General features: G+C 38.6%; 1 protein-coding gene, 2 long non-coding RNA genes and 1 other non-coding gene across 7 annotated transcripts in view, besides 2 other annotated features; 2 read left to right on the top strand and 2 right to left on the bottom strand.

Moving 5' to 3' along the window:
• PRSS12 (serine protease 12) overlaps positions 1–12004 on the top strand; it is a 72966-nt gene extending 60962 nt beyond the window's left edge. Inside the window, exons 12-13 of one of the 2 annotated variants that reach the window (NM_001440549.1) lie at positions 8931–9211; positions 9854–12004. In NM_001440549.1, coding sequence (NP_001427478.1) covers positions 8931–9211; positions 9854–10008 — 436 coding nt within the window. In that variant the 3' untranslated portion in view covers positions 10009–12004. Of the gene's footprint in view, positions 1–8930; positions 9212–9798 lie in introns of both variants that reach the window. The other variant, NM_003619.4, reaches the window with a different exon arrangement.
• On the top strand, positions 25–4089 carry LOC124900766 (uncharacterized). Its single transcript, XR_007058245.1, has 2 exons — positions 25–2342; positions 3284–4089. It is a non-coding gene; the product is annotated as an uncharacterized LOC124900766 (long non-coding RNA).
• SNHG8 (small nucleolar RNA host gene 8) lies at positions 12219–13280 on the bottom strand. Of its 3 annotated transcripts, NR_034010.1 has the most exons (4): positions 13250–13280; positions 12905–13098; positions 12611–12653; positions 12219–12418 (listed from the first exon to the last, which is right to left on the bottom strand). It is a non-coding gene; the product is annotated as a small nucleolar RNA host gene 8 (long non-coding RNA). The 3 variants fall into 3 exon arrangements; NR_003584.3 differs by having other exon boundaries at positions 12905–13280; NR_034011.1 differs by lacking the exon at positions 12905–13098.
• Positions 12722–12852, bottom strand: SNORA24 (small nucleolar RNA, H/ACA box 24). The gene has a single exon (NR_002963.1). It is a non-coding gene; the product is annotated as a small nucleolar RNA, H/ACA box 24 (small nucleolar RNA).
• Positions 13453–13502: a silencer, noted in NCBI's record as "silent region_15649". NCBI's record gives its function as "represses an Ori minimal core promoter by ATAC-STARR-seq in GM12878 lymphoblastoid cells {active_cell/tissue: GM12878}" and the evidence as "EXISTENCE:reporter gene assay evidence [ECO:0000049][PMID:35858748]".
• Positions 13573–13752: an enhancer, noted in NCBI's record as "active region_21845". NCBI's record gives its function as "activates an Ori minimal core promoter by ATAC-STARR-seq in GM12878 lymphoblastoid cells {active_cell/tissue: GM12878}" and the evidence as "EXISTENCE:reporter gene assay evidence [ECO:0000049][PMID:35858748]".

Genomic DNA, 20903 nt, shown 5'->3' with positions numbered 1-20903 from the left:
GTGCAGGTTTGTTACATAGGTATACGCGTGTCATCGTGGTTTGCTGCACTTATTGACTGGTCCTCCAAGTTCCCTCCCCTCACCTGGCAAAATATCTTGATAGGCTGATTCTAACAAGCAATATGGAATAAGGATGAAATAAAATGCTGCCTTTAGTTCCAGGAAATTTGGCTGAAATACAGCACAAGTGAAAAACTCACTGGTTTTAGCGTCCTGCAACTTTAATAAGACTCAGCAATACAATATGGTTGCCCATGAAATTAATTCAGTCTTGGGTAGCACTGACGAATGGTGTCCAGACAAAGCAGTGAAGAACCTTGCTATTCTGTCTTTCTGTGCTCAAGCAACTGTCAGGGAGAAAAGCACTGTGTCCATCAAACAGAGAACTGTGCTCAGTTCTGTGTGCCACACAATGAGAAAAGGACATGGTGCTCTAAGAAGGGCAAGCAGAAAGGAAAGATTGTGTGGGACTGGATTAGATTTGTTGCCTTTTGCTTCAGATACCACAAATGTTAAAGGGAGATAAGATAATTTTTGCTTTAACACAAAAAAGAGTTTTCTGTTGTTTATTTTTTATTTCTTTGACACGAGGACAGTTCAAAGATGGAATGGGCTATATGTGGGAGGAAAAGTGAGTTCTGTTAAGGAGTCTGTTTAAGCAGAGAGAGCTTAGGTTCATGTGAAGGTAGAGGCTGGTGGTAGATAAGATGTAGTGTTTAGAGTACTGTGGTGAGAAAGCAAAAGCTATGTTTGAGGGATGGCAATTATTACCTAGAATACAGGATCTGGGATTTGTTAGTGAACTTAGAGAGACGAGAATGGCCTGGGATGCCAGGGTTATGGATTCCTCTTTCATTTACTAGGTAGTGGGAAACCACTAAAGTTTTGAGCCTTGAAAGATGATCAAGGAAGAGTTTCAGGAGATGAGTCATTTGGAGATTTGTGGCATATATCTGAGGGGGTAAGGCAAAGTTATTAATCTAGGGGGGCGTCTGTGAATGGGCTTGACATTATATTAAAAAAATCTTTGTATATGTTTGTACTTACATGCCTTTTTCTGGCAAATTGGTCTGTGTTACCAAATGATTTAAGTAGGAACTGGAGGGACTGTGAGGAAGGGACCTAATTTTATACTTTTATACTGGAGGGAGACCAGTTATAAGATTATTGTAATAATAGAAATAGGTGAAAAGGAAAGGAGGGAGTGAAGGTAGAGAGACTGTTAGAAATCAGTAGAGCCTGGTACAATACAACAGAAGGAGACTTGGATCTGGCCACCAAGACCAGGTTTACAATTCTAGCTCTTCCAATTGTTAATTGTTTAACTTTGCAGAAATTATTTAACCTCTTGGAGTCTCAGGTTACGTCATTTTACATCTGTAAAATGAAGATAATAATGTTCCACAGTGAGAAACAAATGATCTGCAAAGTATGTCAAAGTATTTTATAACCTCTAAAATTCAAAACAAATATTGGTTATTTTTATGTTGGAGTTTAAAGGCAAGAATTGAAGACTATATTAGTGAAAGTAGGGAACTGAGGATTATTTTATTTCACTTACTAATGGAGAAGAATAAGGTATAAAATTGCAAAGAACTTGAAGAAGCCTATTTTGGGGCTTTGAATTTAAGCAAAATAATCTGTTATCTTCCTGTTATTCAAGATTTCTTGTCTTTCAAATTTCAGCCAAAAGTTACAGTCATAGGAGTTCAAGGCTTAAAGTATTAAAGTAGGAAGATTGCTCAAAAGTTGCACTTGAGGTTAAACACTTTAACTTTTGGGTTCCCTGGATGGGCTCTTTTTTTTGTTGTTGTTATTTTTGGATTTATTTGTTTACATGTCATTATTTCTCCTTTGGCCTGCTCTGTCTTGATTATTGCTTAAAGTCAGTAATCGTCTCATTTCTCATTTGTGTTTATACACCAAGTGTCTACTGTATGACTTGGCACATAGTAGATACTCTGAATGATTGTTACATGATGAAAGTGGTGGCTCAGTTGCCAGATAGTGAATTATTTAAGAATGTTGGGCTTTTTAGAGGATGATGATATTTTCAAACTGAGATCAACAGATAATTCCTTCCATATGTCCTTTGGAATTTCTTCTCATTATTTGCACAGTTTAAGATAAAAATAGTTGATTAAAGAGCAGAGGAGCAGATTATGATATGCAGCATTTTGATATGCTTTGGCTATAATACAAGATTCTTTTAATGTGAGTAGGGAAAAAACTGCTTTGCAAATGTGTTATATATCCTTCTGACTTGGCTTTTACCTTTGCCGGATTTCATAGACTTCCTGTTTGAAGCGCCTAAGGAGGCTACAGCTCACATCTTTATTGATGTAAGTTTATTAAAAGGCATACAGCTAGTTACTAGTGATTAGAACAAGCTCCAAATTTTGTTTTCCTAGATTTAGGGACTTTTGCTTAAAACAAATCCTCCTTTCATCATCAGAAACACTGAAATTTGCAAAATAGAGACTGTAATCTAGAAGCAATGTAGTAGGGCTCTGAGAGGTTCCTGTCCTTTTAGATGCCAGGTGAAAGATACCTTAGTTTAATATAAGGCCTATAGGTAGGGGAACGGGATTTCATATTTTGAAATTAGCTTCCCCTCACCCCCTTTTGACATTTCCACTGCTTTATCAACTACTGGGCTTCTGTATACCTAAAGATTTCTTGTTCATCAGAGCTTCCTTGGTACCTAATTCTTGCAGTGATGTAGGCCAATGTTCTTGACCAGCCATTTCTGGACAATAAGGCATAGATCGTTATTACCATTTGTGTTATTTAATTATACAGGATTAGAACTTTTTATGTTTATTTGTTTGCCTTCATAGCATAGTCACTCTTTTATATAATCTTTGTATCAGAATAATCTAGGAATGGTGGCCTGATGAGGATGAGATCAAAATGCCATAATTCCACTCTGCCATATTAATGCCATAATGCCGCTAGCCTCAGTTACACTCATTTCATGTGGAGTAGTCTCTTTAAGGGTGCTTTATGTGAAGGCTGGCAAAGTTTTCGTAACTCAACTCTTATTCCCTCATAGCTTTCACACATTTCCATGCCAATGTAACAAGCGCACCTGAAGTAGTTGGTAAATCACTATTTAAAGGCTATCTCATTTTTCACATTTTTCTTAATGTTAATGCAATACACATGGAATGCAGTAGCCTGTTGGCAATTTGAATTGGAAACTTTGTTAAATTAAGTTCTTTTGTAACTGGCTTGTGAATCTTACATAATATAAATTGCTAATTTTTGCTTTCTATTCTAGATTGTAACTACAAGTACCATGAAATTGCCTTGCGTGTCTATTGTGGTGCAGCAATATAACTGAGACAAAAATTCCTGAATATTAATTTCTTTTAATTGCTTATTCTGATAACAAACCTGATTTTGCAGGAATAAATGTACCTGAAACAAGGGCTTTCTTATTTCTGTAATTTTACTCCAAAGTGGACTTGTTCAAGAATATAACTTTACCTGACTTTATCTCATTGACTTTTTGCCCTAGAAATGCAATAGTAGCTGGAAATTGTTAGAAATGACTAGATATTTCTAATTAGAGAGATGGCCACAGAGGTAATGGGACTTACTTTTTAAGAACACAGTGTGTCAGATGCCTAATATATGTTTCATCATGACATAGTATATGGTAGAGCAGAGCTCTTAGGAACATAGCCTTTGGTAATACACATATCACCAATCATGCTAAAACTATTTCTGTAGTACACATAGTATTTGTGTATGTGTAAGGGCTAACGCAAGATTCTACTGAGGTTTACTTCTCTGTAAGCAATTGGAACCATTTACATAAACAACTTCAGTCAACTACTTTTTGAGTTTCATCCAGAGAGGAAAAACAGATTTTAGTAGTAGCAGATGTGCATGGCCTGATGTAAAATACTGTTTTCCTGTAGAGACGAATCCATGTAGAGAAGAAACACAAAGAATATGACCCTGCAACCTGAATTAATTCTACTTTTAATTCTAGTAATTTGTTGTTGTTGTTGTTTACTTTAGCCTCAGAGTCTCAGAGAAACTTGGACATTGGATTTTAATAAACTACTGTGTCTCAGATCCTCTCTTGCTCAAACTTGTCTGGGAATTTCATCCAATTTTTATTTGAGGGGGAGTTGAAGGCATTTCAGCAAAGCAAACAACTGAATGATGTGTCAGCCAAAACCTGAAATGTTTGTTTTAGAAGCATTTTTGGATAAAATAAAGTCTATCAAAATAACAAAAGTTCAACTAGAAAGACCTTAAAATACATTGCAAAAGAGGATTGCTTTATATGTTGTCTTGAGAAGCCTAGAACCATAATAGATACTTCTGAAGTCCACACACATATTGAGTACTTCAGCCAAAGTGTTATCCCTAAAGCATATAATCATACCCACTAGGAGAGGTGACACTAGAAGACAAAAATTTGGTTGGAAAACTATTCCAATCTTGTGTCAGATGCTCTTCAAATTCTAAGCACAAAATATATTCTAAGAATAATTGGAGTTAAAGGAGTGTGAGACTCCATGCTTAGGTTTAGCTGGTACATTTCCCTAAATTAGGACAACTTTAAAAGTATAGGTACTTGGCCGGGTGCAGTACCTATAATCTCAGCACTTCAGGAGGCCAAGGCAGGCAGATCGCTTGAGCCCAGGAGTTTGAGGCCAACCAAGGCAACATAGTGAGACCCTATCTCTACAAAAAATAATTTTTGAAAATTAGTGAGCATGGTGGCATGCACTTGTGGTCCCGGCTGCTTGAGTGGCTAAGGCAGGAGGATGGCTTGAGCCTAGGAGATCAAGGCTCGCAGTAAGCCGTGATCGCACCACTGCGCTCCAGCCTGGGCAACAGAGTGAACCCTTGTCTCAAAAAAGAAAAAAAAGATGTGTGTGTGTGTGTATTCCATATATACATATGAACTAACAACTTCATTTTGACAAGAATGGTACTGTTCGCCTTTTTGTTAGGTAAATATTTTTATTCTCAGTTTAATATAAACTGCTGATTGGTGAGCATACAAATTCTGGGGTTTACCTGCCAAAATCTACTTGATCCAGGAACACAGTGTATGTATGGAACATGTATGCTTTTTGCATTTTGGTTTCTATTAGTAATCTCTTAGGATGCTTACTTCATCCAGTGAAGTTCTGGGCATGTACGGGCAGGAGTTATGCCCACACTTTTGAGTCTTTGGTTCAGTGGTTCCCAAGTCTGACGGTGGATCTGAACCCCATGGATTTTCATGGGGTTTTTATAGGAAATAGAAACATTTTTTGATAGTTTTGTTATAATATGGTAATTGATAAGATCTCTTTTTAATTTCAGTAAGTTAGGGATGAGAGTGTATGTATGTGGACATGAATGTCTTTCAAAATAACTCATTCATTATACATTTATTAAGCGCTTTCTCTGTGCCAAGCACTTTGCTGGGTGCTAAGGATACAATAGTGATCATGACATGGTCCTTGCCCTTGAAAAGCCTTTAATTAAGTCCTAGAAACTGTTACATATGCATTGAGAGTGTTCAAAAGGATTGGCTAGCTTTCAGGAGAGCAGAAGATTAGGAGGAGCCTCCTAGGAGATCTTTGACTTGATCAGGACAAAATCAGGTTTTGCCATATTAGGATAGAGGGGATGAGAGAAACAACATTGCACATAGTTTGGATAATGACGTGGGTTTGTAAGACAACTCTTCAAACGGTGTAAATGACAGGAGCACAGGGGCCAGGCTGGTATCAGAGAGGGGAACAAGGACCAGTTCTTAGATGGATTTGTGTATCATTTAAGGAATTTGAATTTCACATAGATTGGGGATCCCTTGAAGGGTACTCAGAAGGAGTTATATTATCAGGCAGAAACATCACTCTGGCGGCAGCATGAGGGATGGGTTGAAAAATTTAAAACTTGAAGCGGCAAGTCCATTCAGGCGACTACTGCAATAGTCTTGGCATGAAATGACACATTAAGGCAAGATTGCCCAGGGCTTTAACATTGATATTATTTTAAAAATAAATTGCCTGTGCTAGTAATGTCCTGTTTCTTTGCTTACTGGTTGAAGACTCAATTTTTATAGATAATGCGGAATAGATTTATACAGCCAGTTTAGCTGCAAAGATTAATTTAGCCAAGCGTCACAGCTGTTTCTTACAGAATGGAAAATACTGTTGCAATAAGACTTAAAACAGAGTGAAATCTTGTCTCAAAAAAAGAAAAAAAAAGATAAAAACCCAAACAGGTCAAAGTACTTTAAATAATATATTTAACATAGTGTATCTAAAATATTATCATTGCAAAATGTAACTAATAGAAAAGTTGAGATATTTAATATTCTTATTATCTATAGGGACAATATTTTAGTTTTTTTTTCATACTAAGTATTCAAAATTCTGTGTATTTTGTACTTTCAGCACATCTCAATTCAGACTAACCATATTCCAAGTGCTGCAGTAACCACAGTTAGCTAGTGGCTACTATATCGGGCACTACAGCTCTAGATAATTTCTTAAATTCTATTAAAAAGATAAATGCAACATTTCAGCAGTACTTTCAAGGATGTATTTACAATAATTCTTGTGGGAAAAGTGTTAAATCATTTGGGGTTTTACTTTAAATATGTGAATGTACTGTTAATAAAATTTAATGAATATACTAGCGATATTACTAGCACACAGAAAGTAGAAGTGAAAATAAGTACTTGATTACTCTCCATGCCTATTACTTTTTAGTTCAGTATGTGAAATAATCCTAAATTTTACTTAAATTTTCAAGGAAGCTATAAGAGCATATACTTTAGGCACAATATATTAAAAAGCCTCTGAACTTTAAAGATATGTGATGATTTAAGATTGAGTCTCAAGAAATCACAGATTAACTATTAATATTAAAGATCAACAGTAGGTGGCTATATAAGCCAAATCATCTTTATTGCACTGTTTAGTTTTTGAGCGCTGACAGTTAATCATATATACGAGATGGTCAGAGCCCTACTTAAGGATTAGAATATTCAGGCATCTCATAACCTCCAGTAATTTTATAGAAGTGGGAAGTTTTATTTTAAATAGACACTAGAAAATGCCAAGCTTTTGAATACCAACTCAGTTCTAAGTTCACATTCAAGTACAGGTCTTGTAAACAATAAAAGACCCAAGTTTTGGTTAAAAAAAATTTAAGGTGAAAGTTGTTACATGCGTGCTTCCCCACTTTAACAGTTAGATGCCGGCACAAAATAGGTAGAGCTGATGAAACCAGGGCTGGAGTTTTGGCAGGTAAAAGACAAGCAGGGTAGTTTTTCGAGTGATTGTTGTAATGGGCAGACGGTAGAACCCAAGCCAGATAATAAGGGAAGTCATAAAAGACTAAAATGAAAAAATAGTAGGGCCAAAGGATAGAAGTCCAATGGGTTTGAAGGATTTTAGAGCTGTAAAAACAGAAGGCAGAAATAACGGTATGTGTGAAATCAAGATTTCAGAGGTGTGTGGTTACCTGGTGAATACAAGGTCTAGGTTTTACATTGTAAGTGTGTGGCTGAGATGAGGTGGAGAATACACTCATTGCAGATGAGTAAGTCAGGGAACTACAAAGGAAAAGTTATTGGAAATTAAGTCTTAAGAATGTTATAAGTAGTGGAATGCAATGAGCATGGAGCTCTAGTCTTCTGTGAAAAAGAGGAAGTAACTAGGAGATGGGTTGTGTCATGCATTCTAGGTCAGAGGTTCTCAACTGGGGGCAGTTTGCCTAACAGGGAACACGTGACTATGTCTGGAGACATTTTTGGTAATCGCAACTGGGGATGGAGGGTTTGTGTACCATGTACCAGTGGCGTCTAGTGAATAGGGGCCAGGGATGCTTCTAAACACACTATAATGCACAGGACAGCCCTCACAACAGATAATTACCTGGTCCAAAATGTTAATAGGTTCTGAGATTGAGAAACCCTGCTTTAGGTGGGTTTGGTATCAGAATCATCATACTTTAGTATGATGGCTGAAAAATGGGCTGAGAACTATCCATCTGGTAAATATTGCTTCTATTTTAATGGACTATAGAAAGTATACATTAATAATAAGCATTCACTAACTTAATCAATTTTTTGCATTCCTAATTAATGGCACAACACTATTTTAGGTGTTTTAGATTAATCAGTGAACACAACAAAGATATCTCTGACCTGGAATAGCTTTGACTCAAGCAGGGAGGAGGATAAATGCAATAAATTGTAAATTAGATAGTTTTGTTACAAAGTGATGCTTAAAAACGAGGAAAAGTAGAGATGAATGATATTGGGAGTGTTTGATGATGGGAGGAAAAAGAAAGATGGGTTGCAATTTTAAATACGAGGGTGTCAAAGTAGGCTTCATTGAGGTGACATCTGAATAAAGATTTAAAAGAGGGGAAAGGATAGAAGGAATATATGTTTATCTGAAAGTATAGTTTGGGTTTGCATTCACTTTAGAGGAAAGGGAAGTAGTTTAAGTCCACCTTGCAAGAGTGAAGTCGATTGTACTAAGTACTTTGAGGGACACAAAGTTAGTTTCTGCCCTCACAGAGCTTCATGACAAACTAACAATTCTTGGAAATAACAGGGCAACAACACAGGACAATAATTTTGACCTATTCCTGTTTTGATCGCTTTTCATTTGGGAAATGACAGATTAATGATTAGTCTTTATTTTCCACTCATCCTCCACATTTGCTCCTTCTTGGAGAACAGATTACATAATGAAATGAAGATGAGGTTATGACAATGGGTTTGCAGTAGAGGATCAGGAATGGTGGGTCAGATAAATGGAAAGAAAGGTTGAATTTACAAAAGGGGCTGATGATTTGGAAGAAAGGCTTGTATCTTCATTAGTCTTCCTTCTTGACAATAATTTTCAGTATCTGAAGCAAGTCTCTCATTAGTACTCTCTGCCTCTCAGGTATGGCAACAGCACTAGGAGCTATGCTGTTAGGGTTGGAGATTATCATACTCTGGTACCAGAGGAGTTTGAGGAAGAAATTGGAGTTCAACAGATTGTGATTCATCGGGAGTATCGACCCGACCGCAGTGATTATGACATAGCCCTGGTTAGATTACAAGGACCAGAAGAGCAATGTGCCAGATTCAGCAGCCATGTTTTGCCAGCCTGTTTACCACTCTGGAGAGAGAGGCCACAGAAAACAGCATCCAACTGTTACATAACAGGATGGGGTGACACAGGTAAGGCATAATCAAAAAAAGCAGGGCACCTTTTTGTGTCTGGTATTATCCATATATTTGGGTGTGCAATGGGCAATAAGATCTTAAATGGATTCAGACTTATTTGGAGAAATTTTGCTTAGTGTGAAATGCATGCATGTAATTGAGACTTATATTCTGGAGGTATTGTTGGTTCTAATGAGAACTTTAGCATAAACTGAGAACTCAGTTTAATTCAGTGAAGTAGATATGAATTGATGTGCTAATGCGAAACCAGCATTAATGCATTCTATGCTTTTTAATATACAGAATTCAAATACGAAAGCCTGCACAAATATGCTTTCTTAGGTCACCTTACTCTACAAATCCATAAATGTTATTCATTATTCCTCAGACAATTCAGTACTGAGAAATTTGTGAAGGTTAAGATTGTGTCAACATTAAAAAAGGCAGCTAACAATAGTACATACCAGTTAGTCATTGCTCATTTTAAACTACACTAATGCCACAACAGGGATTTTATTTTCATAACTATTACATGCTCAGTAACTGTTAAATGTTGCGATGGTTATCTGGAATGCCACTAATCAGATGTTTGGTCTGAGTAGGACGAGCCTATTCAAGAACACTACAACAAGCAGCCATTCCCTTACTTCCTAAAAGGTTTTGTGAAGAACGTTATAAGGGTCGGTTTACAGGGAGAATGCTTTGTGCTGGAAACCTCCATGAACACAAACGCGTGGACAGCTGCCAGGGAGACAGCGGAGGACCACTCATGTGTGAACGGCCCGGAGAGAGCTGGGTGGTGTATGGGGTGACCTCCTGGGGGTATGGCTGTGGAGTCAAGGATTCTCCTGGTGTTTATACCAAAGTCTCAGCCTTTGTACCTTGGATAAAAAGTGTCACCAAACTGTAATTCTTCATGGAAACTTCAAAGCAGCATTTAAACAAATGGAAAACTTTGAACCCCCACTATTAGCACTCAGCAGAGATGACAACAAATGGCAAGATCTGTTTTTGCTTTGTGTTGTGGTAAAAAATTGTGTACCCCCTGCTGCTTTTGAGAAATTTGTGAACATTTTCAGAGGCCTCAGTGTAGTGGAAGTGATAATCCTTAAATGAACATTTTCTACCCTAATTTCACTGGAGTGACTTATTCTAAGCCTCATCTATCCCCTACCTATTTCTCAAAATCATTCTATGCTGATTTTACAAAAGATCATTTTTACATTTGAACTGAGAACCCCTTTTAATTGAATCAGTGGTGTCTGAAATCATATTAAATACCCACATTTGACATAAATGCGGTACCCTTTACTACACTCATGAGTGGCATATTTATGCTTAGGTCTTTTCAAAAGACTTGACAAGAAATCTTCATATTCTCTGTAGCCTTTGTCAAGTGAGGAAATCAGTGGTTAAAGAATTCCACTATAAACTTTTAGGCCTGAATAGGAGTAGTAAAGCCTCAAGGACATCTGCCTGTCACAATATATTCTCAAAGTGATCTGATATTTGGAAACAAGTATCCTTGTTGAGTACCAAGTGCTACAGAAACCATAAGATAAAAATACTTTCTACCTACAGCGTATAAACTAGCAAAATTTGAAAGGATTTCTGGTAACTAAATGCCAGCTGGACATACAACCTATTTTATCCAACACATTAACATATCTACTATATTTGCTTTTAACAAGCACCTCATCATAGTCCACGTTCCCCGACCATGATGTAAGAGTGCCACCCACTGACACTTCCCTGTAACTGACTTATACCTGCAGGTTTTCCCAAGCCCAACCTGATACAATCCAATCTTAAAATATACTAGTCAAAATGCTTTCCTGGCCTACACATTGAAAAGTTCTAATACATACAGCAGTTATAACATATGCCAGGCACTGCATTAGGCAGCTTTGCACATCACTGACAATTTGCAAAAGGCCAGTAAATCTTATGGTAGTAGCCCTTGTTTTCAAATGGGGGAAAACAGGCTTGCCTCAAAGTGAGACCAGTTGGTGAAACTGATTCCAAACTCCAGAAAAAATGCTGATTTTTTTCCCCATGGTTCTCCTACCTAAATGATTGGTTTCCCTATGGCTATTTCTCCAAGAGTTAAGGGATAGCTGCTTAACTATGCACCTTTACAGAACATTCTTAGCAGTAATGCTCAAATTTAAAAGGCACACTCAAGATACTTCCATGTCATGGATCCTTCCCCAGGTCCCAGTAGTATAAATATAGGGAAGAGGTTAGCATGAACTTACAAATTGTTTTAAGTAATCCTCTTGAATGCCAGTCATTAAAGGACTTTGCCCTTCTACATCAAATTACATCCTTTTCACAAATCCCCATTTCTGTAATAACTGGTGCAAACCTAAAGGTGCTTTATAGTTTTACTACTTTGCAGATTTGCAATGCTGCATATAATGCAGAAGAGCATTAAAAACTTTTGTAAAAACTCATGATTTTGATAAACTTTTAAAGTAGCGTTTATATGTAAATAGAACTACACATGGCACACACACTTGCACAAGGGCTTCAGAAAAACGTGCAATATAGGTGAGAAAAATGTCTATTGAAACTTTCTCACAGGCTGCCCTTATAATTAAACTAGTGTTGGGGCAAGCAACATCTGTTTCAAGTAGATCAGGGACTAGCAAACCTAAAAGGCAGCAAGCAGCCTGCAGTTTGCTCAATCCTTAAGAATACATGGTTCATACAACATGCTTTTACTATGTCTTAAGTGTGACTTTTGAAAGATACAAGTGTTCTGTGCATATTTGTGTAAATAAATACATAATTTTCCACCTTGTATAACTGCCTTAAATTTTTGTATGGTTTAAAAAGAGTCTGCTGTCTCCCTTGGGGGTAGCCTGGTAATTTTTATATTTTACATTTTTCACAAAGGCTGCAATTACCTTAGAACTGTACTCACACTACTTCCACATGAGCGTGTAACACTAAATAGGAGGTATTATGCTATTAACTACCTTTCCGTCTATTAATCACTCAGTCAAGGAACAATGAGTAGCCACATGAATTAAGCATTTTATTTAATTATCACGGACCACCTTAAATATTACTTTACAAAATTCAGGCCTATATTTAAAATAGGTGTCCTGATAACTTCCAGGATATTATTCGGAACACCCGTTTCCCCAACTACGATAAGTCCATTGCCGGATGCTGAATAAACTTCGCCCATTACCACTTGGATTTCTTGATAGTCTGCAAGAGAAAAAAAGCATTATAAAACTCCGAGCTGTGTACTTACCTCACTGTTTTGAGATCTTATCAGCTAATTCAGTTGGTTGTTAACTCAAACTACAAAAGCCAGCAAAACGGGCCAACTTTAGCTTTCCAACGTCCTGCCGCTAAGGCGTTTCAGATTAACTCAGAAATATCAAAAAAGAAATGTACCTTATGTTTCCATCATCCATCGTAATGTGTTCAGCTCAGCTTCCTAGAAACATTGAACAACGGTTTAGAAATTTTGCCCAATAACCCGGCACCCTCTAGGTTTTTAACAGTGAATGTTACTTGTGCAAGTCAGAATCTGATACCAATTAAATGGTGACAGCTTTGCCAATAAACAAGGATATGCTCTTCCATGGCTAGGAAGGGAGACTGCCACGGCTGACAGGTCCCAAAGATACATGGAGATTCACAATCCAGAATTAACCAGCAACCAAACTGCTACAGGTTATTACTCACCATCTGGCTCAAACTGACGGTTCTCGGGGTGCTAGGGCACAAGAGCGACAGAGTAGACTCAAGATGGCCACATGACACAGACGGCTGAACAGGCTTCACCGGAGTCCCCGAGTGCACGGAACCTTTCCCCGAGGGCCCACGGCCCACGCACGCCGGGGTTCAGGGTCCAGGGCTGCACGTGGACGCCCGGCGACCTAATGAGCACTCAAGTCCGCGCATGCTTGTAAACTTAAGGGTTTCCAAAGCCGCCCCCGACCTACCAATATCCTGACTGCGCTGCCTTTTAGGTAAGGCAGTAAGTTTCGGCCCAATTATCATTTTAACTTACGAAAGACAACTACGTACTTTCACCTAATCCCGACGCTTCCCGAATGTGAAAGGCCGAGGCCTTCGGCACACGCTCTCTTATAGAACTGATGACGCTATTCCGGGGGAAGCGCCGCGAGGGGCGGAGCCTATGCTGTTTCACTCCCCGCCCCGCCTAGCCCCGCCGCGGCTCCACCTGTTCCGTCTACCACCCCCTTCGCGGCTCCTTTCCCCCCTCCCCCGCACATGGTCCACGTCTGAGCGGGTCACCTGGCTCCGGATCCAGACGCATGCGCACATACGAGAGCCAAAAGGTTCTCGCATAGCGAAAGATCCTGACGCTTACCGGTGTAGGTCACGAAAGCGAGGGGGATTTTTTTGGTATTTCCTGTTTAGGATACTTATTTTAGACAATATTAGAAAAAGGGGCCGAACGCGGTGGCTCACGTCTGTGATCCCAGCACTTTGGGAGGCCGAGGCGGGCGGATCACTTGAGGTTAGGAGTTGGAGACCAGCCTGGCTAACATGGCGAAACCCCGTTTCTACTAAAAATACAAAAATTAGCCTGGTGTGGTGGTGAACGCCTGTAGTCCCGGCTACTCGGGAGGTTGAGGTGGGAGAATCTCTTGAGCCCGAGAGGCGGAAGTTATGGTGAGCTGAGATCGCTGGTTAGCATTTTACAAATTACCTAATCACTACTCAAAAACAAGAAAAGTCTGAGAAACTATTATGCCAGAGAAAATGATGCATAATGATTAAATGTAATGTGGTATCCTGGCTGGGATCTCCAGCAGAAAAAGGACATTAATGGAAAACTAGCGAATCTGAACAAAGTGTGGAATTTAGGTAATAGTGCCAATACCGATTTCTTTATTGTGACAGATATACCATGGTATTGTAAGATATTAATGGTAGGGGAAATTGGATGAAGGGGGTGTGGGGACTCCATTTTTGCAAATTTTCTGTAAATGTAAAACAAAGTTTAACTTAAAAAAGCAATTATAACCTTACAGTCTATTATACTTTCATTTTAAGACAAAGTAGTGATTTAGTAGTGGTTTCTATCTACTTTAGTGTGAAATTTGTGGCTGAGATGACAGTATTTCTAAGTTTGACTTGAGATCAAACCCAATGAATTTAGCTGCATTCAAACCAAGGCTTTGAGCCTTTGGATATTCAGGAGAGACAATGTGGTAACAAATAAAAGAATTAAAAATTGGTTGGTAAATGAAGATTGGCTTAAGGATTTTATTTTATGTATTTATTTATTTAGAAACATTCTTGCTCTGTTGCCTAGCCTGGAGTGCAGTGGCATGATCTTGGCTCAGTGCAACCTCCACCTCCTAGGCTCAAGCGAGCCTCCTGCTAGGCGTGTGCCACCACTTGGCTACTTTTTTTTTAAGGTTTTTTTTTTTTGAAAGACAAGCCCTCACTATATTGCCCTCAGGCTGATCTCCTGTGCTCCTGGGCTCAAGTAATCCTCTTTCCTCGGCCTCCCAAAGTGCTAGGATTGCAGGTGCAAGCCACTGCGCCCAGCCTAAGGATTTTAAAGATAGAATGCAAGGTGAACCTGTTAGAACTGATCAAATGATGGCTAGGTAACATTTCAGTTCTGCTTTTGATACATGGAGTGAACAGTTCATTATAGAATATTTATTCTTCAACAATGCTTTTCCCTGCACTATATCTTTTTTCCTTTTGTGGTTTAGTGTTGAAACTGGTAGTCATCAGAAAAATTTAACATAGAATGGCACATCTGTCATATGAATGCTGAGATGAATAGGAGAAAATATAGTGAGGAAATAACCTGTGGACTTATTTCTATCTTAAAACACTTAGCAAATCTAAACTTCCAGTGTATACTAGCAGCGTGATACTTCTGCTGTAAAAATTGGTTTTGCTGCAGTAATAAAAGTATAGTGTATTGCAGTATGATCTAGTGTTAAAAAAAAAGCATAGTGTCCAAAAGAGAGGAGATGGACGTTCCCTCCTATCTATATTAAAATATTCTTGTCAGTTCTGAACATCTTGTTCAGTTGTTAAACATTTACTAGACTCCAGCAAATGTTTATTGAGCAGACATGGCCTTTGCCTCAAGACTTGAGAATATAATTGAGTAACTTACAGTTAGTGCCATTACAATGTTTTCCAAATCATTCAAAGTTCAAAGCAAAGAAATTAGTTCTTATTTTTCCCTATCCTTTATTTTCAGTATTTGATATATTTTTGTATCAACCAATGTATTAGTTATCGATTGCTGTATATCAAATTAGCCTAAAGCCTAGTAGCTTAAAAAAAAATAAGCACTTACTATCTCAAATAGTTTTTGTTGGTCAGGAATCTAAGAGCAGCTTAACTGGCTCAGTGTATCTTGTGAGGTTGCAGTCAGGATGTTGACTGGCATTGCAGCCATCTGAAGGCTTGACTGGGGCTGGTGCGGCAGGATTCTCTTTCAAGGTGGCTCATTCACAGACCTGACAAGTTAATGCTCATTGTTGGCAGGAAGCCTCAATTCCTCAGCATGTGAATCTCTCCATAGGGCTGCTTGACTGTCCTCATGATTCTCGTGGCAGCTGGCTTTCCTCAGAGTGAGTGACTCAAGAGAGGAAGCTCCAACACTTTTTATTGTGGCCTACACACCATCACTTGTTAGAAGTTAGTTATTAATGCCAGCTCACATTCAAGGGGAGGGAAATTAGCCCGTCTTGAGGGGAGTATAAAATTTTGTTGACAAATTCTAAAAGTGTCACAGTCAGGATGGATGAAGTTGTGTTGCAGTTACAGAAGATCCAAAATCTCTGTGGCTTAAAACAACAGAGATTTGTTTCTTGTCATGCTTATGTTCATGTTAGAGACCAGGCTAATGAGGCCTTCACCATTTGTAATGGTTCTAGGCAACATAAAGGGAGAAGGGAAAATAGTCATTATGTTCTTAAAGGATTCCATTCTGATGTGACATATGTTACTTTGACTCATATTTATGGACTAAAGCAAGTTCCATGGCCACACCTAACTCCAAAAGCCTGGGGAAATGGAATCCTACTGTGTGCTTAGAAGGAAGATAATCGGAAGTATTTCAATATATTATTATAGCACTAATGATTTCTACAGTGGCCAAGTTACAACTGTTTACATTATTTTTATAGTTACCTTTTCTCTATTGTTACATTGTGTATTAGTCTGATCTCACATTGCTATAATGAACTACCTGAGACTGGGTAATCTGTAAAGAAAAGTTTAATTGTCTCATGGTTCCACAGTCTGTACAGGAAGCATGGCTGGGGAGGCCTCAGGAAACATTCAGTCATGGCGGAAGGGGAAGCAGGCACATCCTACATGGGCAGAGAAGGAGGAAGAGAGAGCAGAGGGAGGTGCAACACACTTTTAAATAACCAGATCTCGTGAAAACTCACTATCACAAGAACACCAAGGGCAAATCAATGATCCAATCACCTCCCACCAGGCCTCTCCTCCAACACTGGGGATTACAGTTCGACACTGGGCAGGGACACGAATCCAAATCCAAACCATATCACACTGCTAATCTAAGATAATATGTCTGAGCTGTCTCCCTACATTTCTAATTCTCTCTTCCAATCAACTAAGTATATTAATGAAAGATTAAATTTCTGGAAATATTTTCTACATGTTAAGCACTTGTTATAGAAAGTGTAATGACTTTCCTACTGATTATCAGGTAAAATTCCTCATCCCAGGCCAACATACAATGTATGTTACACTTAGCATGCTCATTCCTATTTTTGTTCATGCTATTTCATAGAATAGAATATTCTACCCATTCTTCCTACCCATCCTTTAAGATGCATCTCAGTTCTTATTATTTTTTATAGTAATCTTTCTTTTAGAACATTAGAAAATATTGGTCTCATCTCATTTTTGCCATCCTTAATACTTATTCTTTGTACTGTACATTAAAAAAAATTCTCATGACTAAATAGTGAGTTTCTACTATATCCCAGGTCCTGTCATAGATGCTGTGGCTAGAAAGAGTAAACAAAATAGAATTTAAAAAAATTTCATGGAGCTTACATTTTAGTGGCAGAAAACAGATGCAAATAAGAGTATTAGAGTTCTATCAGAATCAGAACTACTAGGAAATACATATGATTAAAATCATATATGTAGAATCTGACCTTACACAATTGTGCAGTGGAGGGACCAAGGAAAATTGGCATCTACAAGAATGAGCTGTAATCCATGAGAATGAACTAGAATCAGGACCAATCTCTTCCTGGTTTCAAGGGTTTAGCTTTGATGATGGAGGTGATCTGCAAGAGAAGCTGATGCCCTTTGTCACAGACTTAGGGATTGTTGAAGTTGAAACAGAAGATCTGGGATGACTGAAGAAGCTATAGATCTGGCTACTGCCCCACACTTACAAGACAATTAGTAGATAAGTGATAACTTGCATGATCTGCAACATTGCCTGATGCCCCACACTGACCTTCCAAGTGTAAAAAGTGTATGCTGCTTTACTTTGATTTGCCAGGTCTCATACAAAATGTCTCCTGTGGTCTTTCTGAACGTGGAATTATTCAGGGAAGGGAAGGGAAATGTAGGACTAGCTTAGCTAAACTAAAGTAGAAGCCAATCACAATATGTAAATTATATGGTATGTTAACGTCAATGAGTGCTGTGGAGAAAAACAGCACAGAAGATGAGAAGTGTTTGGAAGGTAGGAATTACAATTTTAAAAAGGTGTTCAGGGGAAATGTCATTCAGAAAGTGACACAAGGTCAACAATTTGAAGAACATGAGGGAGCAAAACATGCAGACATTTGGAAGAGGAATATTCGAAGCAACCAATGCTTTCTCATTGGGGCCATACTTGATACAGTAGGCAAAGTTCCCAGTGACCTCACCTCATGTTATTCCTTCCTTTATGTAATCTCTTGAATGGCAAAGTGGTGAAATGTGAGACCAGGTATTAAAACCTGACTTGTGTTTTGCTACCACTTCCTCTTGTGTCTTTCTGTATTGCTTGCTTTGATCTAGCAAGCTGCTATGTTGGAGAGGCCCATGTGGCAAGGAACAGAGTTGCCTCTGGCCAACATCCCACAAGGAACTGAGGCTATCAGACCAGTAGTCCATGAGGAATTGAATTCTGTCAACAACCATATGAATGAGCTTGGAAGTGGATCCCTACCCAGTTGAGCCCTGAGATGACTATAGCCCCAGCTGTTGATGGCAGCCTGGGAGGGACACTGTAGCAGAGGATCCAGCTAAGCCACACGTGGATTCTTGACCTACAGAAAGTGTGTGAGATAATAAATTCTGTTGTAAGCTACTACATTTTGGGATAATTTGTTATGAAAGAATAGATAACTCAGCTTGGCATGTTCGAAGAATAAAATTTGGACCAGTTTGGCTGGAATGAGGTAAGCAAGTAGGAAGTGAAGTTAGAAAGGTAATGATAGGCTACCTATGGCCTTATAGGTCATTATACAGTTTTTAGTTTTTTTGGAATAAGTTGGATAGCCTTTGGAGAGTTTTGAGTAGAATGACATGATCTAACTTAGGATTTACATGTTCTCTCTCAAAGCTCTGTTTAGAAAAATTCTAGGGTAGCGATGGAGATAATGGTAGAGCAGGGAAAACAGTTAGGGTAGTGCAATAATAAGATGAGCTATTGGTGTTGGGTTAGTGGTAGCAGTGAAAGAAATAAATGATTCAATTCTGGAAATATTTTTATTGTAGAGCTGACAGTATTTGCTGACAGATTGGATATAGTAAAGTATATAAGATAAAGGGATTCTAGGCTATGAGAAAAATGACTAAGGTTTTTGGTGATTTGCTGAGATGGAGACTGCAGGAAGAGCAGGTTTTCGGGGAGAAGTATTTAGGAGCACAGTTTTGTATGTTATGTTTGAGATGCTTTTTAGGCATCCAAGTGGAAGTGTTGAGTAGAGAGTTCAATATATGAATATGGAGGTCTGGGGAGAGGTTTGGCCTGAAGAAAGAAATATGTGAATTGTCAAACTATGGATGGTATGTAAAGCCATGAGATCAGATAATTGTACCAAGGGAGGAAGGATAGATAAAAAGTAGGATAAGAAGCCAGGTGCAGTGGCTCACACCTCTAATCCCATCCCATCACTTTAGGAGGTTGAGAGAGAAGACTCTTTGGAACCTATGAATTTGAGACCAGCTTGGGCAAATGGTGAAACTCCGTCTCTACAAAAAATTTTTTTAAAAAATTAGCCAGGTGTGGTGGCACACACCTGTAGTCCCAGCTACTCGGGAGGCTGAGGCAGGAGGATCGCTTGAGCCCACGAATTCGGGGCTGCAGTGAGCTATGCTCATGTCACTGCACTCCAGCCTGAGCATGAAACCAAGACCCCATCTCTTAAAAAAAAAAAAAGAAAGAAAAAAAGAAAATAGGATAAGAAACTGAGCCTTGGAGCCTGTCAATATTAATCTACCAGGAAAAACAGTAGGAACCTGCAAAGGATGTTGAGAAGTAATTTAAGGAGAAAAGCCAGCAGAGTGTGATACCTTAAAAGTCAAAAAAGTTTTTCAAAAGAAAGTGGTCAATTGTTTATGATACAAGTAGGATGGAAGTTGAGAAATGACCATTGGAGTTAGCTATATGAGGGTCACTTGGGACCTTGTTGAGAGTAATTTCAGAGAGAACAGGAGAAGTATTGGAAATCATGGATTCGGAACAACTATTTTGAAGAGTTACACTGTAAAGAGGAAGAAAAATGCAGCAATATCTGGAAAGGGATGTGGGATCAAGAATGGGTCATTTTTAAAGGATAGGAGAACTTAAAGTATGTTTGTATTCTGATGGGAAAGATCCAGTAGAAATGGAAAAACTGATGATGCAGCAGATATGTGATGAACTGCTTAGGAAATGAGATGGGATCTAGTGCACAAAAGTAGGGGTTACCCTAAGATAATAGTTTAGGCAGTTCATCTATAGAAATAGGAGTACATGGGTACAGGTGCTTGTGGATGAGTGGGTGGTGTGAACTTTGAATGTTCTCATCTACTAATGTTTTTTTCCGGGGTAATAGGAAACCAGGCCATCAACCGAGAGTGAGGATCGGGGAGAGAGTGTTGGAAATTTGAGGAGAGAGGAAAAAATATAATTAGGAGATGGCATCAATAGACTTGGAAAAGTAGTGGGTTTCCCCGGTCACATTAGGAGCTCACTTGAGTTCTTGTAATGAATTCAAAGTCAAATCTCTAGCATGATTGTGTATTTTCTCTTCATCATGCTCAACTGCATAGGTGCTGGTATGGAGCTGACAGGGAGTTGGAGTTAACCAAGTTGCAGTTTGCCAAGAGAGTGAGCAAAGTGATAGAAGGGAAAAGGAATGCATGCAAGGGACTGGTTATATTGATTTACCATGACATTTAAGTTAGACAAGAAGAGATGCTAATACTTGAGAACAGTGAGGGACATTGATAATGTGGTTTAAGTTGGATCCATGAATTTTGAGGTGATGGTGATCCAAGAATTTTGGAGCTGGGATTTTAGAGTAAGTGTTTGACATTGTGAAACATTTATAATATAAATTTATTGAAAAGTTTGGCAAGCAACATTGTGAGCCTTTTATGGTTTAGCCTGAAAAATTGGATTGCCTATGTGTTCTATGATCTCAAACTGGCCTCCAGCACTTTAAGAGTGAACGCCTGACTTGGTTGTAGAAGCTTGCACGTCAGT

Source organism: Homo sapiens, chromosome 4, assembly GCF_000001405.40.
Source record: "Homo sapiens chromosome 4, GRCh38.p14 Primary Assembly".
NCBI classification, from domain to species: Eukaryota; Metazoa; Chordata; class Mammalia; order Primates; family Hominidae; genus Homo; species Homo sapiens.
Note: the sequence above shows the minus strand (reverse complement) of the source record. Positions and strands in the feature narration are given on the sequence as shown.